At 36.8% G+C, this 22,649-nt stretch overlaps 2 protein-coding genes across 28 annotated transcripts in view, besides 3 other annotated features; one reads left to right on the top strand and one right to left on the bottom strand.

The window, feature by feature from the left end:
• FERRY3 (FERRY endosomal RAB5 effector complex subunit 3) overlaps positions 1 to 499 on the bottom strand; it is a 50,735-nt gene extending 50,236 nt beyond the window's left edge. For all 11 annotated transcript variants that reach the window (NR_144382.2, NR_144380.2, NR_144379.2 and 8 more), the window contains exon 1: positions 439 to 499. The gene's annotated coding sequence lies outside the window, so the exon portion shown is untranslated. The remainder of the gene's footprint in view (positions 1 to 438) is intronic.
• Positions 134 to 743: an enhancer, noted in NCBI's record as "H3K27ac hESC enhancer chr12:4647270-4647879 (GRCh37/hg19 assembly coordinates)". NCBI's record gives its function as "activates a minimal SCP1, AML or CMV promoter by ChIP-STARR-seq in primed H9 embryonic stem cells {active_cell/tissue: H9 hESC(primed)}" and the evidence as "EXISTENCE:reporter gene assay evidence [ECO:0000049][PMID:30033119]".
• Positions 479 to 528: a silencer, noted in NCBI's record as "silent region_4154". NCBI's record gives its function as "represses an Ori minimal core promoter by ATAC-STARR-seq in GM12878 lymphoblastoid cells {active_cell/tissue: GM12878}" and the evidence as "EXISTENCE:reporter gene assay evidence [ECO:0000049][PMID:35858748]".
• Positions 744 to 1,352: an enhancer, noted in NCBI's record as "H3K27ac hESC enhancer chr12:4647880-4648488 (GRCh37/hg19 assembly coordinates)". NCBI's record gives its function as "activates a minimal SCP1, AML or CMV promoter by ChIP-STARR-seq in primed H9 embryonic stem cells {active_cell/tissue: H9 hESC(primed)}" and the evidence as "EXISTENCE:reporter gene assay evidence [ECO:0000049][PMID:30033119]".
• On the top strand, positions 920 to 22,077 carry RAD51AP1 (RAD51 associated protein 1). Of its 17 annotated transcripts, none has more exons than XM_047428085.1 (10): positions 920 to 986; positions 3,914 to 3,963; positions 5,793 to 5,934; positions 7,812 to 7,862; positions 8,339 to 8,448; positions 10,122 to 10,208; positions 10,717 to 10,866; positions 15,013 to 15,177; positions 18,383 to 18,580; positions 20,887 to 22,077. In XM_047428085.1, the coding sequence occupies exons 1-10, from the start codon at positions 970 to 972 to the stop codon at positions 21,021 to 21,023; spliced, it is 1,107 nt and encodes a 368-aa protein (XP_047284041.1). In that variant the 5' UTR covers positions 920 to 969; the 3' UTR covers positions 21,024 to 22,077. The 17 variants fall into 17 exon arrangements, with proteins under 17 accessions (XP_047284041.1, NP_001124334.1, XP_047284045.1 ...); NM_001130862.2 differs by having other exon boundaries at positions 18,383 to 18,532; XM_047428089.1 differs by lacking the exon at positions 18,383 to 18,580.
• Positions 22,078 to 22,649: the final 572 nt, after the last annotated feature.

Below are 22,649 nucleotides of genomic sequence, written 5' to 3' on the forward strand. Positions count from 1 at the left end.
TTTATGAGATAAATACTACACAGCAATAAAAAAGAATCAACCACTGATAAATGCAAAAATATGAATGAATCAGGAATGTTGAAAAAAAAAAGAGAAGGCAGACACAAAAGCTCTGGTTCAACATTTAGACTTGTGTTTCAAGAAACTGATAACTTTAGTTCTTTCTCCTCTCGCTCTTTTTTTAGACTAATGGTCTATCCTGAAGCCTGGGTTCAGTTTTAGCAACCGTGAAATCCAGGAAGGTTTCCCATAAGAAAATGGGATGGAAGGTCTGGACCGAACACACACAGCCAACAGAGCGGAGGCTCTGAGGCTCACATTAATCAGGGAAAAGGAAGACAGACGGTCGAGCTGAGAAACTTCAGCCGGGTGAGGGGACTAATCCCTCTGTAACGGTTGTCAGTCTGAAAGGGCATCCTCACTCGGTTCTGGGCTCACCTCGTCTAGTTCCGAAGTCCTGGGCAGTCCGCTCACTCGAGCTGTCAGCGCGTCCTGCACTGGGAAACCAGCTGACTTGCCGACATACTTTTTCCACACCGCGGATCCGCGAACGTAGATTCGCCACATCCTTTTCTATTTCCTGGCATCTTGTAGAAAATTTCTCAGTCCAAGTGCCCCTATGTCCCAACCTGTTTCAATTTAACAATTTGAAAGGTGCAATAAGGTGTATTTCTATTGTTATTCTGTATTTCAGAGACAGGGCAAATCCGCCGTTGTGACGAAAGTGCAGGGACAAAGCACAAACTCGGCTCTGGTGGACCGGATACGGAAAAGCGGTGCCTTGGGGAGGGCGGGAGCAAATTCGCTTTCCCCACAGCGCGTGCGCCGCCGCAAGCATGGCTGGTGATGATTGGACGACTGGTAACAGGGGGCGGAGGGCTCCGAAGTCTGGTTTTGGGCGGGAATTGAAACCGCCGCTGAAGCCAACAAGAATTTGAGAACTGTAAATACCAAGCCTTGAAAGGGACCATGGTGCGGCCTGTGAGGTGGGTAGTTCCTGACATTCGTCGGGGGTGGGAGGAAAACTAAGGGAAAAGACATGAGACTAAGGGGAAAGGATCGAGTAAGACCGGAGGGCAGCGATGGTGGGGTTAGGATGGACGGTTATCAAGAACCCAGTCTCCAGTGAGAGCCACCCGTTGCTCAGAAGTATCCTAGCATCGTAGCTTTTTCCTTCTCTTTGCCTCCCTTCACAACCGTCGCCGTTTCTTTTACCAAGACCTTGTTAGCGTTTGAACAGCGCTTTACATTTCACCGAGCGCCCAATTATGTGTTATTTTATTTGTTTATCACTGTAGTTATTTGATATAGAAAGAGTAAGCATTCCTGTTGTATTGATTTAACATTTCTACGTATAGAGGGTAAGTTATCTGAGTCATACAGCCCAGTAAGTGGCAGGGCAATACTCAAACCTAAGTCATCTCACTCAAGATCCTCTGTGCTTTCCATCGTGGTATTAGAAACGATTCTTCTATTTACACAGTTGAGTGCCATGGAAGCCTATAGTTAGCCATTCATTTAATAAAGTTATTGAATATATTCACTTCTTTAGTGTACGAGGTGCTGGAGGTTACATTCCAGTGGGAGGTGAGGTTAGGGGGCCGAAAATAAGCCTCGAAATATGAGAGTGCGAAAGAGGAAAGCACTACTTTAAATATAGTAGTTAATATGTGACTCTGAGGCGATAATGCATGCACTGAGTCATGAATCAGGGTAGAGGGAATAGGAGCCAAGGCCCCATACTTGACCATATTTTAGGGACAGTCTAATGCTATAGGATTAACAAGCAGTGGGGAGAATCGTAGGGGGATTAGGCCAGAGAAATAGGCAGGTGCCAGAACAGATAGGGTCTTGTAAGTCTTAGAAAGGAGTTTAGGTTTTATTTTAAGTCAATGGGAAGTCAGTGGAGGGTTTTAAGTAGGGGAGAGGAATCTAAGTTTGCTTTTATAAAGGTCACTGGCTGTTGGTGGAGAATAAATGATGGATAGGGTGACCAGAACGGGAGCAGGAAAATCAGGTATTATATCATTGGAGAGCGGTTTGGGATAGGGTATTATTAGTGGGCATGGAATGGAACAGATGAATTTGGGATGTATTTCGGAGGCACTGTGGACAGAACTTGCTGATGAAGTAGATGTACAGGTAAGGGAAAGAAAGAATCAGAGATGACTCCACAATAGTTTTGGTCTGAGCTACAGGATGGATGATCTTTGTATTAAGATAGGGAAGACTAGGAAAAGGAAGGTTAGGAGGTGTGAGGGATCAAGATTTCTGTTTCGAACATGCTGAATTTGAAATGGGTTTTAAGCATCCAGGCAGTGGAGTCATAATCCCTTTGTAAGGAACAGCAGTTGTTAAAGTATGGTCTACAGACCTCTGTGGGTCCCTGGAAACTTCTCTAGAGGTCTATGAGGTCAAAACTCCTTTCATAACAATACTAAGATATGATTTGCCTTTTTCGCTGCTTTGTCATTTGCACTGCAGTGACCCCGATAAAACTGCTGGCACCTCAGAACAATTAAGGCAGTGGCACTAAATTGTACTACTAGTCTTTGCAATGTTTACTGCCATACTCTTAAAAGTAAAAAAAAAAAAAAAAATCATTTCAGTTAAGAATATGCTTGATGAAGTAGTGGAAATTATTATATTCATCATAGCTTAACCCTTAAGTATACTAATTAAAAATAGGCTATTGATTTTATTTTACTATTATTCAAGTTCAGAATTTATAAAGGGGTTTTCACATTTTATTCAGCTCTAACTTCTTTAACTCTGAAGAGTAAGAGAGTAATATGAGTGCACTTTTTAATAGTTTGCGTGAGGAAACAGGAAGTACACATAAAGCACTTCTGTATACTGATGCGTGATAGTTATCTCAAGGAAAAGCACTTGTGAGATTGTCTGAGTTGTGAGCTGAGCTTACTACCTCTTTTTCATAGAACATTCTTTTTACTTGAAAGAACAACCAGCTGACAAATTAGGTTATTCACATTTAGCCATTTGACAAAAATATAGAAATAAAAACTAGAAAAACATTTTATTTAGTGCCTAGAGGAGGGAGGAAAAAATTATTTTTTTCACTTTGAATATCATTTTCTTCTAATGCCCTCTGAAGTAGTACAAGTTGAGCATCCCAAATTTGAAATGCTCCAAAATTTGAAACTTTTGCAGTACCTACATGGCACTCAAAGGAAATGTTCATTGGAGCACTTCAGATTTTAGATTTTCAGATTTGGGATGCTCAGCTGGTAAGTATATAATGCAGATATTCCAAAATCTGAAAAAATCCAAAATTCAAAACATTTCTGGTTCCAAGCATTTCAGATAAGGGATACTCATCTCAGGTGGTAGGAACAAGGTCACTCACCATTTTTAAGTGTCCGTTGCATAAAAATGTTATTTGGTATGGTGGAGAGATTGAAAAGAAAGTAGCTTTTAGTGTCAAGAAATTTATAATCTAGTAAGGAAGATAGAATGCACACACAAAACAGAAGAACACGTACAACGGGAACTTACAAATGCCCAACAGCAATTAAACAGTATAGCAATTATAAATGTTAATTATGTAGATTATTCTTTGTAAGTTACCTGAATTTTTTTCCTTTATCATATAATTGAAAAGCCAACAATACCCAGGTATATCAGGTATAGTTGTAACTATTTTAGCTAATGATAAATCCCCGCGGTAAAATGCAAATCATGTTTTAGAGTTAAATATTCTTACTTGAACCCAAACACATTTTCATTTATTGAAACACATTTCATTTAACACATTTTTATTTATTTCGTTTATTCATTATTTATTAATAAATGAATAATATTAAATAAATAAATAATATTCATTAATAGCCTTAAGTAATAGTGGTGAGAAATTGACATTTGTGTTAATGAAAAAATTCTGTTTTGGTCATAGACATAAGAAACCAGTCAATTACTCACAGTTTGACCACTCTGACAGTGATGGTAAGTAAAGCTTCTTATTTTTGTTCTAAAGATTTGGAAACTCATTTCCTCGGAATTTATATGACATATATAGCTCAAACACTGACTAAATTGCCCAAATGCATATGAGGTAGGTCTGGAAAGATAGTTTTCTAATCATTTGGGATAATTATGCTGATAATTATACTGATAAAAATTATGTTAGTAGGTGATAAATGAACAGGCCAGGTGAAAAGTCTCTTTAGATCTAAACTACTCTAAAGTCCATAGTTGCAACATAGAGGTTTGTCTCCTATTCCATCCCTGAAGAAGGAAAACACTGTCTTTTTGAGATACAAAGATGTTACAGCATATTATATAAAATCCCTATTAATTGTACTATAAAACAAGACCTTGAAGAAAGGTTAGGCTTATGTTATGCCTTTTAAGCATTAGTCATATGTTTACTTGACTCTGCTATGATTGAAAAGTTTGAGGAACATTGCATTAGATTATGTTATATGTTGAAGTGGATTTAATATTTCTTTCTTAGACCACTAGAGTTTTCTGTAAGTCAAATATTTAGTAAGTCTTCGGTTTGAAGGAATCTGTTTTTGCCTTGAGCACAGCCTTAACTGTATCTACCACTTGGGAAAAAGAGTGTAGAGTATAACATCTAGCTTTTTTTTTTTTTTTGTCATCAGTCTGTCATCAGATACTTATAAATTGCCAGGTGTGTAGTAGTAGGTGGGGGGAGTCCTAAGTTATCTTATTTTTACATGGGGAAGCATATAAGAGACAACAAGTATTAGTGCTTGCTGAGTATGTGATGAAGACTGCATAGACCCTGAAAGTATGCATATATGTGTTGTATACATGTGGAAAAGCCACAGCAGTAGTTTTACGTTGACAGTCAAGAGTAGAACTACAACAGTTCAGAGGATTGGTAAGACAGAAAAACCTGTGAGAAACAGTAATGGACTGGAAAAGAACATCCTTTTGCAAGAAAATAAGAAGTTACTTTGGTAGGATCTTAGGAAGATCATTATGGTAATGGAAAGAGAAAATACTACTATTGTAAAAATCCTCAAATAGGAGCTACTTTCTCTTCCCCCCATAATGCTTATTTCCTCTAGCATGGTTAATGTACTAGGAATAGGTAATGGGCTTTTTTTTCTCTTTTTTTTGAGACGGAGTCTCACTCTTGCACCTAGGCTAGAGTGCAACAGCGCGATCTTGGCTCACTGCAACCTCTGCCTCCCAGGTTCAAGCGATTCTCCCACCTCACCTCCTGAGTAGCTGGGATTATAGGTGTCCGCCACCATGCCTGGCTAATTTTTGTATTTTTTAGTAGAGACAGGGTTTCACCACTTTGGCCAGGCTGGTCTTGAACTCGTGACTTCAGGTGATCTGCCCGCCTTGGCCTCCCAAAGTGCTGGGATTACAAGTGTGAGCCACTGTGCCTGGCCCAAGTAATGGGCTTTGAAAAAAGATATTTGGCTACATTGTGAAGTTCCCATAAAAATAATTTATTTCCACTTTTCAATGTGATTAAATTCTACCAATTTTTCTAATGGTTTTACAGGTTTTTAATCATTTTTTCTTTGACACTTATATGCTGTCTTAATTGCTTTTGCAGTTTTTAGTGAATTGGTTTTTGATAGACTGATATTTTTAAATATAAAGGGCACAAAAACAAAAGTCGAAATAGATAAATGAGAGTAAAGATAAACAAAATACTAACAATGATTTTTAAATTGTGGAAATTAAACAATTTGCCTAGCCTATAAAAACTTGAACACACATGGTAATGATTTTCATTTATGAAGAAAATAATATTTTTCTTTTGGTTTTAATTCACACATGAATAGATGATTTTGTTTCTGCAACTGTACCTTTAAACAAGAAATCCAGAACAGCACCAAAGGAGTTAAAACAAGATAAACCAAAACCTAACTTGAACAATCTCCGGAAAGAAGAAATCCCAGTACAAGAGAAAACCCCTAAAAAAAGGTGAGAGGTAAGACATGCAGTAAATATATGACATTAGATGTGTTAATTTTAAAGAGACACAGATTCGAACCCTTGATTTAAATTAGAACTTGGGCAGAGTCATAGGTCTTATTTTACTAGGTGCAGTCAGAAAACAGGACGTACTATTTTTTTCTGGCTTTCTGACTTAAAGAAATTCACAAACATTCAAGGAAGTATCATTAAATATTAAGACAATAATGATTGTAGAATTCAGAAGTTATGACTGGTTTTGACAGGACCCAGCACTTATCTCTGAATTCCTCAAATCATACGAGACTACTTTGTTAAAAATGACATTAGATGACTTAAGATGATTAAGACACAAGATGACTTAATATGAGGACAGTTTTTAAAATATAAAACCATGTATTTTCTTGCAGAAAAAGATGTCTTCTCCCCATGTTGTTAAGATTTATCCAGCAGTGAGAAGTTCCCATAGTTTCTAGACTAACCGTGGAATTCCATTAGATAGTATCAAGAGGCAGAAAGGAGTGAAGGAAGTCCTTAGAGACCCAAAACTTGCAGTATGGAGAAGAGATGGGCGGAAGGGGAATATTAACAAATGGAACATGGCATATATAATGTTTTACTGCCACAAGTTTCTCTATGAAAAGTGAGTTAGCCTGGAGAAACTTACCTCATGTCATGCTCTTTTTTGCTTTTCTTTTTTTTGGTTTTTGTTTGTGAGTTTCTTGTATTACATTTTAAATATATAGAAAAAGGAACCCACACGTGGGAGAAAATATTTGTAAATCAGATAACTGATAAGGGACTGTATCCAGAGTATACACAGAACTCGTAAAACTCAACAGTAAAAAGACTAACAACACAATTTAAAATGTGCAAAAGATTTCAATAGACTTTCTCCAGAGAAGATAAACAAATAACCAATAAACACATGAAAAGATGCTCAATATCATTAGCTGTGAGGGCAATGCAAATCAAAATCAGAATGAGATAATACTTCACACCCACTAGATGACTTAATACAAAAGACAAGGAATGTGGAGAAATTTGAACCCTCATATATTGCTGGTGGGAAAGTAAAATGGTGCAGCTAAATTGGAAAATGGTTTAGCAGTTCCTCAAAATGTTAAACAGAGTTATTACATGACCCAGCCTATGTATGTATCCAAGAGAAATGAAAACATATGCCCACACAAAAACCCATACATGAATGTTCACAGCAACATTATTCATAATAGCTAAAAAAAAATGGAGGCAATCTAAATGTCTATCTGCTAATGAATGGATAAGTAAAATGTGGTTTCCACAAAATGGAATATTTTTCAGCCATAGAAAGAAATGACAACTGATAACTGATATATACTGCAATATGGATGAACCTTGGAAACATCATTCTGAGTGAAAGAAGCCAGATATACAGGTCACATATTACATGATTTCATTTGCATGAAATGTCCAGAATAGGCAAATCCATAGAAACGGAAAGCAGATTAATGGTTGCTAGGAGGGGAGAGGGGTAAACAGGAAGTGAATGCTAATGGGTATGGGGTTTCTTTTTGGGGTAATAAAGATGTTCTGAAATTAGGTAGTGTTGGTGGTTTTACAGCTCTGTGAATGTACTAAAAACTGCTGAATTGTTTACTTTAAAAGGTAAACTTTATGATATGTGAATTATATCTTAAGAAAACTGTTATTCTAAAAAAATAAATTCTTTAAGGTACATCTCAGTGCTTCTTCCTTTATGTAACTTTTCCTTATCTGTCTTTGACGTTTTCTTCCTCTTATACTCCATAGCACTTTTGAGCAGCTTGAATAGGACTTTATAGTCTGCCTTTTATAGGATAATTATTAGCATGTCTTGTTTCCCCACCCTCCTCCTTTAATTGCAGACTCCCTGAAGGTACTTTTAGTATTCCAGCTAGTGCAGTGCCTTGTACAAAGTAAGTGCTTGGTAAAATATTTGTTAAAGTCTGGATTGGGAGGAAGAGATGTAAAAAAATGATAATAATTTTAATTTAATGTAAGAGCTATAAAATCTGCTAAAGGGGAGTGGGTGAGGTCAAGGAAGAGTTTTAAGTGGAAGTGATGTTTGAACCAAGTCTGTTTTGGGTTGAGTAGGGTGTTTCCCACCTGGACACAGCTGGTAGTAAGGTGACACATTACAATGAAAGGGAACAGTCATTGCAAAGAGGCACATGGTCCTCCTATTTCAAACCTCTTATTCTGTATGTAACATGATACTGTGACATTTTAGGAGTCTTATCTTATCATCAAAGGTCTATTAATGATGATTGTTTAAAAACATTTTTGCGAAGTTAGCAACTCTTGAATAGTAATTTGGAGAAATCTCAAACTTTGCTCTTTAGTTGAGATTGATATTTTGAAGAACTCATTATTACTTGTGTATCTATTTTAGGATGGCTTTAGATGACAAGCTCTACCAGAGAGACTTAGAAGTTGCACTAGCTTTATCAGTGAAGGAACTTCCAACAGTCACCACTAATGTGCAGAACTCTCAAGATAAAAGTAACTTTATTTTCTGTATATTTAGCTTTAAAACCTTCTTAATGCTTTTGTGATTATTTGTTTGGGTGGGCCTTCACAGAGGAAACAGGTAAAATGTGAATACTTTGCACTATAAATAGACCCATTTGCAGAGAATACGATTGGATTTAGTTCTTAATTCAGCTGCCTAAATCTCATACAAACAGACATACATCTCTGCTTAACACCCAGAATAAGCTTGAGGGCACGGACTGTGAGCCTCAGTGTTCGAATTATATGTTGTTGTACAGTGAACATTTAATTTCTTCATCAAATGATTTGATCTGTACAGTCCTAACAATCCATCTCCATTTTTTCCAGATCAGTTAAACATACCCTAATTATGGTAATTTTTATTACTTACAAAGGTCAAAGGTATTAATTTGGTTAGCAAGTTCAGTAGACTTAAGAGAATGGCTTTTGGATTTCTCTGTTGATTTTCTCCTTTGATTTTTCTGGCAATATATTAATATTCTAGAGAGGCAGAAATCATTATTCCTGAAAAAGATACTCTACTGCTAAAATGCTTTTTGGCTTAAAGTTTTTATGTTGGGGGATATTTTAGCTTATTATCTTATTTAGGGGTATACATGGAGCTTTTTTCTTTGTTTCTTAAATCAGTACTGCCTCCTTATTTATTTATTTATTTGAGACAGGGTCTCTCTCTGTCATCCAGGCAGGAATACAGTGGCATGATCATGGCTCAATACAACCTTGACCTCCTAGGCTCAAGCAGTCCTCCTGCCTCAGCCTCCTGAGTAGCCGGGACTACAGGCATGTGCCGCCATGCCTGGCTAATTTTTTATTTTGTAGAGAGGGGTCTCACTATGTTGCGCATGCTGCCCTCAAACTCCCAGCCTCAAGCAATCCTCCTGCCTCAGCCTCCCAAAGTGCTGGGATTACAGGCGAGAGCCACCTTATCTGGCTGCCTCCTCTTTAAAAAGAAATGAAAGTTTGATTAGGAAGACTTTTAGTAACCAAGAATCAAAGAAACATCAAAAGAGAATTATCATGAATTACATTTAAAATGGAGGCACTGAAATTCATCTCTCTCTTTTAAGACATTGTAGAATGTATAAGGGGAGTTCCTTAGAAGTATTAATATTATACCATTTCTTATTAAATAATGCACCTTATAGCATTGGAATTTAATAGTACCAATTATTATGTCTTAAAGTCCTCTTAGAATGCTTTGGGTCATTTTAAGGTTATTATAACGATTGGAGAGTTCTTAACGTTAGTAAAAGCATGGATTTGCCTACACAGAATTGATAGTTTATTGACCATTTCCTGTATATTAGGCACAATAATAAGCAATTCCTATGTGAGATCCACATTTGGTCTTCTGTAATACCACTGGGTAAGACACTATTTTTATCTCCACATTATAGATGAGGAAATTCAGTCTTAGGATAAGCAACTTGCCCATGGTCATATAGCCAGTTTACATGGTAGAGCCTGAATTTAAACATGTTAGATTTCAGAGCCCAGACTTCTAACCATATGTTAACCTCTCTGAATAAAATTATTGTGCCAGTTGGAGTTTGGGATCATTTATTTATATCTAAATGCTATTACATTTTAGTACTAATTTTCCTATATCTAGACATTGATTAAGATATATCTGAATTTTCTTTCTTATTCCTTATATTTAGGCATTGAAAAACATGGCAGTAGTAAAATAGAAACAATGAATAAGTCTCCTCATATCTCTAATTGCAGTGTAGCCAGTGATTATTTAGGTAAGTTTTTTATATTAATAATTTTTCTCATCAACAATGCTGTTTCTCTGACTTTTGTTTAAATTGCTGAAATTGTGGCTAGAAGCAAGTTCTTTAAATTTGTCAAGACTCTCTTGATGTCATGGCCTTTATTTCTTTGTGTTTTAGTCTCATTCTGTCGTACTGCAGACACACATTCTTCCCTGAAGGGTCATAACTACCCGTGGCTTCTAGTTGGAGCAACTGACCTTTGAAGAAAGGGGCTGCATATTCCCAATTCTAGTTTGAAAATTTTGGGGGAAAGATTATCTCTGTTTGGGTCTTGGATTTATCCCTAAAACTAGAGGTGTTCCCAGGGCACTGATGTACCATGGTTGACCCAGATTGGGCTAATAGTCTATTACTGGAAGCATGGGAGGGATGAACCTGGGCAAATAAAAACAATAGCTGTAATAGAGTCTGGTCTGCAGTTCTTGAAATATCAGTTGTCACAGAAAGTTTTCCATTGATTTTTATGCCTCTCCTGAAGATTTGGATAAGATTACTGTGGAAGATGATGTTGGTGGTGTTCAAGGGAAAAGAAAAGCAGCATCTAAAGCTGCAGCACAGCAGAGGAAGATTCTTCTGGAAGGCAGTGATGGTGATAGTGCTAATGACACTGAACCAGACTTTGCACCTGGTAGGTTTTATTCTACTTCGAAATTAATTCTATGGGAATTCAGTCAAAAAAGTTCTTGGAAGCTATTAATTGTGCAAAGCACTGTGTTAAACCTTTGGGGTGTGCAAACTTCAGGGACACACAGAACAGTTCAATTCAGTGATAGCATTTGGGGAAAAAGTTTTTTCTACGAGTTAACCTTTAAGCTATGCCTTGAAAAATGAGTAGCGTTTCAACAAACTAAAGGTGTAAAGTAGCATTTCTGACTAACAGAAAGGCATTACCTGTGGAATAGACAAATGCTCTATTTGTCTCTAACTGAGGCTTGCTGGGATGAACATGGAAGAGGCTCGAGAGGGAGGCTGGTACTAATCAGGGAGGGTCTCAGACCCACTGGAAGAAGTGTAGGCTTTTTTTTCCTGGAGGTAGTAGAAATCCATGAATTATTCTGAGGCAGAAGTGATATGAAATCTATATTTTATTATGATGGTTTTTAGACTCATTTAGAAATTGGGCAAATGGAAAGTGTAGTGACCTTGACAGAACATTATAACATATTAATTAAAAATTTAAATTCATAAATTCATAAATGTAGGCCAAATCAAGATACCATATTTTAGATTTTGATATACTATCAACAAACAATAACAGATTTGCTCATCGTCACTTATTCGACTAATATTTGAATGCTTTTTATGTGCATTATATTCTAGATACTAGGGATACAATAGTGAAAAAAACAAACAGCTCCTGTCCTTCTGGAACAACGGAAATACATGAAAAAAGACTGTTTTGCATTTGTTTTACTTTGGGAGGGCCTGGGAGACAGGAAAATGCAAAGACACTCTTTGAGCGCCAATGTGATGCTTAAAGGAAATACTCATTTGAGCATTTTGGATTTCTGGAATTGGAATGCCCAACTGGTATAATGCAGATGTTCCAAAACCCAAAGAAAATCTGAACCCTGAAACATGTCTGGTCCCAAGCACCTCAGATAAGGGATACTCAGCCTATACTATATGATCTAGCAATCCACTTCTGAGTATGTATCCAAAACGATTGAAAGCAGGATCTCAGGGAGACATTTGCATACCCGTGTTCATAGCAGCATTATTCATAATAGCCAAGAAGTGGAAGCAGCCCCAAAGTGACATTTCAGTTTTCCCCCTGCATTCGCTTGTCCTGGATGAGAATAGAAAGGACCATGTGTGACCTTCATTAGGGAAAGAAAAGAGAAAATTGCAGAGAAGATAAGTCTTTTCTCTAACAGTTCCCAAAATCCGTAACTGAAGTGTTTGGGCCTTCCAGATTTTCCTCTATGGGATGCGAATGACTTGGAATTTTGGGAATTCCAACTCCCCATCTCTAATTTTATTTAAATTGCTTTCTCAATTGACTGACGAAGATTAGTTGGACCCCATTTCTGAACAAGCTTGTTACACAGAAATGTTGCCAGGGCCTACTGTTTATCCTCTTGAGCCAAGAAGAGAATCCTTCAGACTTCTAAGTTACTGAACACATGCAGTATCAGAACTATTGGATACACAGAAAGTTTTGTTGTAGATAATATATTTGGAAAGTTTGGAGAAAGTTCCTCTACCCCTTGCCTTCTTTGAGCGGAGAGCTTCTTAGGATTGCTTGAATTTGCAGGCTGCATTTCTAACAGCCCTCATGGGACCTGCTGGCCTTTCTGGGCTGATTCTCTATAGCACGGGAACCGTTATGTGAACATGTGAGTTGATTATCTTTAACATTGTGTGTGGGAACAATGATAGAATAAGGACATTGCAATTTGAAGATCATAATGACATTGTTTTTTGTTTTTGTTTCGTTTTGTTTTTTGAGATGGAATCTCGCTCTGTCGCCCAGGCGGGAGTGTAGTGGCACGATCTTGGCTGACCATGGCCTCCGCCTCACAGGTTCAAGCAATTCTTGTGTCTCAGCCTCCCAAGTAGCTGGGACTACAGGCATGCGCCACCATGCCTAACTAATTTCTGTATTTTTAGTAGAGATGGAGTTTCAGCATGTTGGCCAGGGTGGTCTTGAACTCCTGACCTCATGTGATCCACCTGCTTTGGCCTACCAAAGTGTTGGGATTACAGAGGTGAACCACTGTGCCCAGCCCATAAATGACATTGTTGATTTAGGTAAAGGTCATCAATGGAAGGTTGATAAGGATCTTTACAATGTTGAATTCAGGCTGGCATCACCTGAACCACCTAAGAGAGGGACAACCACACATTATATGATTTCTGATGTGATGTAATATGAAGTACAAAGAATATACTTATGAAGTATATTCTTGCCGTCCCTCCTCCCCCCACCACCAAAAAAAGCGAGCCTGAATCCACTCAAGCCTTGAGAGCAGAATTCCAGCTCACATAAAATGCAAGAATATGGCCGGGCACAGTGGCTCACACCTGTAATCCCAGCACTTTGGGAGGCTGAGGTGGGTGGATCAGTTGAAGTCAGGAGTTCGAGACCAGCCTGGCCAACATGGTGAAACCCCTTCTCTACTAAAACACAAAAATTAGCTGGGCGTGGTGTTGTGTGCCTGTAATCCCAGCTACTTGGGAGGCTGAAGCAGGAGAATTGCTTGAACCTGGGAGACAGAGGTTGCAGTGAGCCAGGATTGTGCCACTGCACTCCAGCCTGGGCGACAGAGTGAGGCTCCATCTCAAAAAAAAAAAAAAAAAGCAAGATTAAGTTAAATGACACCATGAGCTAGAAAACAGACAAATCCAGAATTTAGGACATTCTACAGGACAATTGACTCAACTGCTTCAGCAAGTCAGACACAAGGGAGGACAGGGAGAAGATACTGCTCTATATTAAAAGAGATTAATATAGACTGAATAGAAGATGATACCAAGAAACTAGTGTTGGTATTGCTAGATGTAATAATGGCATTGTTGTATGAGAAAATGCTTATGTTTTTTAGAGATACATTCTGAAGTATGTAGGAATGTAATGATGTGATGCCTTGATTTTATTTTAATATACTACAAAAGGGAATAGAAGAAGAAGAGCGAGATAGATGAAACAAATGGAGCAAAATGTTGATAATTGTTGAATCTGAGTGGTGGTTTATTACTGTCTACTGTGGTATAGGTTTGAAAATTTTATATGATTGTATTTTACATATAATATTTCTTATAGATAGGTAGATATTAGTATGTGGGGACAATAGTGGTTATCTCTGAGTGGTGAGATTACAGAGTAGATTTTCTTTAATAAAGTTTTGTATGGTCTGTATTTTCTACAATCAGCATGTACTGTTTATTTTTCATTTTATTTGTACATTTTTTGATTTAAGCATTTTCTGCAATAAGCATGTCCATAATATTAAAAATGTAAAAAAGTTTTATATTAATATAGGACTAACCCTATTTACACTTAGTTTTCAGAGTTTATCTACAAGGCATGGTTTTCTGATCCTAACCCCCTCAAAAAATAGAAAGATCATTGCTTAACTATCAGGTTAGGAAATGCTTTTTTCTAGAGCAGCTGTAGCACTTTCAAAATTAGATCACTGGCTTATATTTTGCCACGAAGTGCAGAAAAGCATTTTTGAGAAATAAAGGTTTGTCCCAAATGAAATCAGCTCTAGGATTATCTGCTAAGATTGTTGTGTATGGTTATCTCAATTCTCATTTGGTCTGTTCCAGAATGTTGAAGTTTATGTGATTAAGGGAAGGCTCACTATTACCATAAATGTCACTGTTTTGAAAGACTAGCTATTGTCATACCCTACCATTCTTTTCAAAAGTCACTGAGTTAAAATGGTAAAATCTGAAGTAAAGATTACTGATGGGAAATTTATAGTGATGGTGGTAATAGCAAACAATTTTATTTTGCTCAGTATATTGCAGATGTTATTCTAAATGCATTATATATATATTAACTCATTTAATCCACGCAACAACCCTTTGATGGAGGTTTACAGTTATCCCCATTTTCTAGGTGAGGAAACTGAGGCTCAGTGAAGTTAGTGACCTGTCTGAGGATGCAAACCCAGGCACCCACAATGGCAACCACTGCAGTGTTCTGCTACTGGAAACAGTGCAGCACAAAGGTGCATAAGAATCTGAAAGCTGTGGATAAAGTTAAGGCAACAGAATCCTCACTTTTTAGAGCAAAGATGAACTATATAATCTTCTGTTTTAGGTGAAGATTCTGAGGATGATTCTGATTTTTGTGAGAGTGAGGATAATGACGAAGACTTCTCTATGAGAAAAAGTAAAGTTAAAGAAATTAAAAAGAAAGAAGTGAAGGTAAAATCCCCAGTAGAAAAGAAAGAGAAGAAATCTAAATCCAAATGTAATGCTTTGGGTAAGCTTGGTCCAAAACACTTAATTTTATAAAGGAAATGTATGTGGTTTGTTTGCCGTATTTTTCTTATTTTTGCCTTTGTTCTCTTTAACATTTTCCTAACGTCCATTTCTTGTTAAAATATGTAAAAGGAAGGTGGGGTGGGGAAGGGAGAAAAGCGGACAAGAATGCTGACTCCACTACGTATGCTAGCACTTACTGTATATGACCTCACTTTGGTACTCATGGCTGCCGTCTGTGGTTAGCTGTTGTCACCTGCATTCTACAGTGAAAAACTGAGTGTCAGAGAGGTTAAATAATTTGTTGGAAATCTTACATCTAATAGGTGAAGGGCTAGAATTTGAACCCATGTTTGTCCATTCAGAGTCTAAGCTGTATCTTGGACCATATTTTCTCCAGACAAAACAAGGAAGTTTGCATAATTCTAATTTTTTGCTTTTGTGCTTTACTTAGTCTGATTTGAGAGCTCTTTTGCCACATGTTTAGGGCCCTTTTTTTTTTTTTATTTCCCCAAAACAAATTCCATTAGAAACTACTTTTATGATAAAACGTTTAAAATTTATGGTGACTCGAACATGGAATACCTGTTTCTTGTGTAAAAGAAGTTAGGATATTTTTGAGTTCATAGTATATGATAGGTTATTGCAAAATATAACTGTCATTAACTGAGTTTGTTTTATTTCTTGATAATCATTTTTATGTCTTGGTTTATTTAATATATATGCTATTGATATTAAAAGTTCCATTATTTAGTCTTTCCATTTATTCATAGGAGCTGCTGTCACCTTCAGTAGCCTGTTGCTGAGTACTTACTAAGAATTAAATGAGAATTAAGTACTGATTGAGTTATATTCTTCTCTCTCCTGTATTTTGAATTAATGAGGTTTTTTAATTAGAGTGTTTTTTTTTTAATTGATGACTTCATCTGGGTTCCAGAAATTCTGAGTATCAGAAGTCGAAAGTGGTTCTCACTGGGCTAAAATCAAGTAGTCAGCAAAACTGTGGTCCTTTGTGGAGGCTCTAGGAGACAAACCACGTTCTTGTCTTTTCTAGCTCCTTGAGGGTGCATTTCTTGGCTTGTGGCCCCTTCCACCTTCAGAGAGCAATGGCAGGGACTTTCTCACATCATGTTACTCGACTCTGACTTTCTTCCTGCTCACGTTTACTTATAAGGACCCTGTGATTACATTGGGCCCCTCCAGATAATTCAGTGTAATTTCCCCATCTAAGATTCTTAATTACATCTGCAAAGTCCCTTTGCCATGTAAGGTAACATATTCACATGTTCTGGCAATGACGATGTAGACATCTGAGGAGCCAGTATTCTGCCTACTACAAGCTATAATAGGAAAAAGTTATTAACACCATGAATATATTTTGTATTTTCTTTAGATGTTTGTTTATGCTTCTTCACCAAGACACACTAATAACTAAAAATAAAACTTCAGTTCCCAAGTTGGAGTTTACCATTTAAAATCTTTTCTCTATCCCTTGGAGCAAGTTGCTTCACAACTGAGATTTAATATATAATATTAGAAATGAAATTTAACCATTAAGTGATAGGACTAGGAATTAGGAAAAATGGATTATATTTTTAGTCCTACTAGTAATGTATTGGGTAAACTTTGCGAATTGTGTCTAGCACATGTTATAATTTTCCCTTGATAGAAAAAATGTTGAGAGCTATGCTGTCCAATATGGTAACCTCTAGCCATGTGTGGCTATATTACATTTGAATTAATTAAAATTAAGTAAAATTTAAAAATCAGTTCCTCAGTTTTGCAAGCCACATTTCAAGTGCACAGTAACTGTATATGGCTAGCGGCTACCATATTGGACAGCACAAAACACAAAACATTTCTATAATCACAGAAAGTTCCATCAGACAGTGCTGATCTAGAGGATGCAGATGTTAACATTAGGAAGAGTATACGGTGAAAATGTTCATGTTTATATGTGTTGAAATACCCCTAGGTATCTCAAAACAAGCACTGTCTGAAAGTGAACTTAATGCCACCTCTCCTCCCTCCCCACCACCAAAAAAATAAATAAATAGAACCAAAACATACTTCCAGGCTTGTGTTTATTCTCTAGATAAATGGCACCATCAAAGTGTGCCCATGACAGGAACCTGCAAGTCATGGATTATTTCTTCATCTCCATTGCTGCCTCCCACCTATTTTTGCCAAAACATATCTAATGTGCTGTTTTCCTTCTATTCTCCACCTTAGCAGGCCCCCATTTCCTCTTACCTGATTACCATAATAACCTTCTAAGTAGCCTACTTCTCCTACACTACCACCAGAAAGATGTTTTTAAAATACAAATCACTCCTGAGAAAAATATGTGCATGACTGTGACTAGCCAGACTCTTGTACATGGTCTGCAAAGCTCTTCATAAGTGATCTACACCCAGTGTCTATCTCTCACATTTCCTACCCTTGAGATTTCTGCTCCAGCCGTACACTGAACCAGTCAGTACTACTGATTCTGGAACTTGGTGCATCCTCCATCTTTGCACACTGTACTCCCTCTGCCTGGAAAGCTTCTCTCAATTCACCTTTACTCTTCAATCTTGATTTGGTTCAGACCATCCTCACTCACCTCCTTCTAACTTTAAAACACATACCCCCAGATTGCAGTTTCCTTTTCTACTTGGCATACCTTTAGAGTCTGCCATATCCCTTACCACACTGCATTTTACACATCTTTACTTTCCTGTTCTTCCCACTGAAGTCTAGTGACTAAACCTTAAAGTCCTTGGGAGCAGGAGCCATGTTTCTAACCCTAGAGCCTGACACATAATCTCACTGACACATACTCACGAGACACTATTGTGTAATGGTTAGTTACAAGGATGGGATTTTGGAGGAAAATCTGGTTTCTAAGCTTAGATGCTTACTAGCTGTCAGACTACAGGCAGATTGCTTAACGTCTCTGTTTCCTTCTCTGAGAGTGGGGATAGTAATATCTGTATTGGAGTTGTTGTAAAGAGTTAGAGGTAATGTGTGTGATATGCCTACCACACTGCCTGGCATATTAATGCTCATAAAAGATGGCTATTCTTAGGCTCTCAATAAATGTTTGTTGATTAATAAGTTTATTTTTTATATGATTATGTAACTTTATAATTTTTACACATATATGCTAGACTTACTTTTTCTTCCTGCATGACAAACATTTTTACGTATATTTTTCAAATAAGTGACTTCGGTGGACTCTGCTCCAGCTGCCGTCAAATCAGAATCTCAGTCCTTGCCAAAAAAGGTTTCTCTGTCTTCAGATACCACTAGGAAACCATTAGAAATACGCAGTCCTTCAGCTGAAAGCAAGAAACCTAAATGGGTCCCACCAGGTATGGCATATTTATCATCAAGGACAGGAGCTTGGAAAATTATCACTGGTAAATTTTTTTCCTAGTTACAAACATCATGTGTGAGCATTTCCCCATATTATTACATATTCTTCAAAACCAAAGTTCCTGGTTGCTGCATATATTCATTTATTTAACCATTCCTTATTATTGGACATCCAGGTTTATTATTTTTTCAGTGCTATAAATAAGATTGCAATAAGTGCAAATGTCCTTATTTTAGAAATCTCTGGGCATATTACTGATTATTTTCCTAGGATAAAATTTCTAGTAGGAAAATTACAGTGTTAAAGGGTGTAAACATTTGAGATTCCTGAAGTATGTATTTCTGGCAGCAAATCTTTTGCTCAGGACCTGCTGACCTCCACAGTCTGACTGAAGCCTTGGGATCTATATGTGGCAATTCTAGCATTTAACAAATGCCCTAGCAAACTCAACCTCTTGCTTTCACAAATTTCACTTCTCTGTTTTCTTTTGCTCCACAGCCAAGTCTCATGGATCCTTCAAGAATTCTTTGACCTTCACCCTTCTTGACATTACTAAAACCCTAATCCAGGCCCAAATTGTTGCTGCCTTTCCTAACCAGTCCTGTCTTTACTTTCTGTCATCCACCTGCATGAACCGTCCACTTCAGTGAAATTGAAACACTTTTTGTCTCTCAAACATGTTGTATGTATGCCTCTCTCAGGGCCTCTCTTAATCCTCCTCTGCCTGGTGTGTCTTTCTTCATGTGTCCCCTCTCCTTGCCTGAGCCCTTCCAATTCTACTCCTGTTTTTCTTTTGAGGGGCCTCTCTTGATTGGTCCACAGTGCTCACTCCCCTGCTGACTACTATTCATAGATTTAGGCGTGAGCTGTGAGGCTGCATGATTACTTAACTTACAGAGTCTTCATTTCATCATGTGAAATATTGGGAACAACTGTAATCTTTAAAGTCCATTCTGGTTTACAACTTCTAAGATTTTTAATGAGGACTTAAAAACTTTTTGGAGAAGGAAAGGAGGGAAGATTAATTACTTGATGTCATATCATTCAAAGAGTAATACTTAGTATATTTCTAAAAATAATTAATGCTTCCCCAATGAAGGAAATTTAAATGGAGTGATATAACTATAGAAATTTAAAAGTAGCATAATTAAAAAAATACAAGGAAACAGTGGAATGATGGATAAAGAGTTAATGTCATCAAGCACAAAGTGCTTATCAAGTCAGCATGTGACAGTCAGGCAAGTGATGTAAACGAGTGAATTGGGCCCATGCAGTAGACTTGCGTGGGTAGGAATTTTGTTGGACTCAGGAGCGCGTACCCTTTTGAAGGAAGCAGCTGCTACTCAGCTCCATCGTATTGTTTCCATGCAAGATTATGGGCTTGGTATTTCTAGATCTGATTGCTGTTTTCAAGAGAAGCCAGAAATCCAGATTTTAATATGAAATCTGCTAATTTTTGTAAGTTGATTTTTTTTGTTGTTGTTGTTAGCACCATGTGAACCAAAACAATATATCTGAGAGCTAGATTTGGCCCTCAGATTGCCAGTTTGTTACCTATCTTATACAACTGGAGAAGACCACCAAGACCCCAAAAGTAAAATTAGCCAGAGGCATAAATATAACAGTGTCCCCAAGAACTATTAATACAACAAGAAAATATGAAGAGTTTCAGTCTCACTGGTAATTAAGGAAGTGTAAATTAAAATAAAATACTATTTTATACCTTTCAAACTAGAAAACAATAAAGCAGTATAGTCTGAGTTATAGGGTAGCAGGTATAATTATTTATTTTAAATTTATAATACTGTTGTGTAGGCGAGCAACTACAGTCACCATCAACTGTGAACATTCATGTGGATAATTTTGAAATAGATGGAAATAATTGCGACATTAGGATAATAGTATAATGAAACTAGTATAAATAAATAACAATATTTGCCATTTTTAAAGGTATTTAATAATTGAAAAATAGACTCTTCAAGGACTACTTGTAAAAATTGCAGGACCTTAAAAATGCATTTGCTTTTTCTATTACTTTAGAAATTATAATTATATGCATTTTTGTATGCCTTTACAACTAGCATTATTTGTTCCCAGCCTTCCTTTTTCAGCTTTCATGGTGAGGTTTTAGTGTCATTACCTTGGCTTCTGGGATGTTTGGAAATAGGCAATACTGTATTAATTTCTGCTCTTTAGAACATTCTGTTCTTTTGATCTAGTTTATTGCTTGATAGACACTGGAAAGCAGAATAATGCTTAACTACCTTTTTTTTGCTGCTTATTTTATAAATTAATCTTTGTTAAGAGATTTCTGACATCATCAGCATCACATCATATGTTTCCTTTCAGCGGCATCTGGAGGTAGCAGAAGTAGCAGCAGCCCACTGGTGGTAGTGTCTGTGAAGTCTCCCAATCAGAGTCTCCGCCTTGGCTTGTCCAGATTAGCACGAGTTAAACCTTTGCATCCAAATGCCACTAGCACCTGAGTGTGGTACAGGAGGAATGTTTGGTTGGGAGAATCACAGCTTTACAAGGGTGTTTATATTTGATTTGTGTTTATATTTGAGGCAGGTATTGTAATATAAAGGAATCCATTACCATGTCCTATAAATGACCTCTAGCCATTTTATGATTATGTTCTCTGTAAAACTCTTCAAGACTTCAATGAGAAGTTTGTTTATAAGAATTATCTTCTCATACCTTTCCTTGTGAAGAGCGTATTCTGTTTTTCTATCAGTTCGACATGAAGTCCACATCACATGCTGTTCTTTTCTAGTTACATGATGTGCCTTTCTAGCTTTGTCTAGTTTATAGCACCTTAACTTTAACTGTTCAGTTTTATCTGGCAGAGGAAAACATTCTTATTTCTTTCAGAAGACATTTCTGAAATCTTATAAGCTACTTAAGCTACGTTGTCAGTTTTATCGCAAAGATGTTTTGTATTTTAGCCAAATCTTTTTATAGTACAAACTTAGAATTATTTTACACACTAAAATGGTTGCAGTTTTATGGCATATGTCTCCGATTTAGATGGTTATTCTCTAGAAAATAGTATTTAAAGACATTTTATGAAATCTTCATTGTCAAAACCTTTAATAAAAGTGGAAATATTTTGAAATGCCCTTTTTCTTGATACCACTCATCCACGTGTTCCTGATTGTCCACATTTCATGATAAAATGAGAGCTCCGCAGAGAATGTTAGCCTTTCTGTTGTAAATGTAATCTTCAAGTAGTCACTTTTTGTTAAGTTCTTTAGAAAGTAGTTGTCAAGTACTTAGTCATCCCTATTATGATATGAGATAGTACAGCTTTTCAGGAAGCTTAGATCTGAATTTACTTTGAAAAACAATTGTAATGAATATTTTATATTTACATTGAGAATTTCAACTAGCTTCTGATCAATTTTTAATAAAAAATTTTCAAATCATGTTAGCTGTTAAAAAATGTATAATAACTCAGTTTTTCTTGGTTTATGGAAATATCTATATTAATGTGAAAATAATTAATTTAGAATTGTGATTAAAGTGAGCATTTGTCTATTGCTGTTGTACACTTCTTTTATCTAACGTATATTTTTATAGTGTCATATACCAGCCCCCTAACCTGCCCCACCTGTCCCCTTTTTAAAAACATATTTTCCAGTTACATAGCACTGAGGTACTCTATTTGGTGTAGATCAACAATAAACATAAGAGCCTACTGTATATTAGGTACTGATATAATTGATTAATCATCTGGCACCAGCTCAATAACCTGTTTTTGCCGTGTTCTTTATAGTTTATCAGGGGATTTGAAAATTACCTCAAAGTATGTTAAAACCAGCCTGGCTGAAAGCACTGATACCTTTATGTTGCCAAACCCAGTGTACAATTTTCTCACCTAATCTTATACACCCTATTCATTATACTCTGATGAAAACATTTGATTTCCTTGGCTCATGTGACACATTTCTTTGTCATTTCTTCCCATCTCCATGCCTACTCTTCATTATTTTGCAGCTTTCTAATCTGTTGTGTCACCTTTACCTACTTGTCTTACCAGTTTCATGTTCTATGCAAACTCCAGGGGTCACTTATGTGACAGTGACTGCCAAGTCAGGGTCTGTACCCTA

Source organism: Homo sapiens, chromosome 12, assembly GCF_000001405.40.
Source record: "Homo sapiens chromosome 12, GRCh38.p14 Primary Assembly".
NCBI classification, from domain to species: Eukaryota; Metazoa; Chordata; class Mammalia; order Primates; family Hominidae; genus Homo; species Homo sapiens.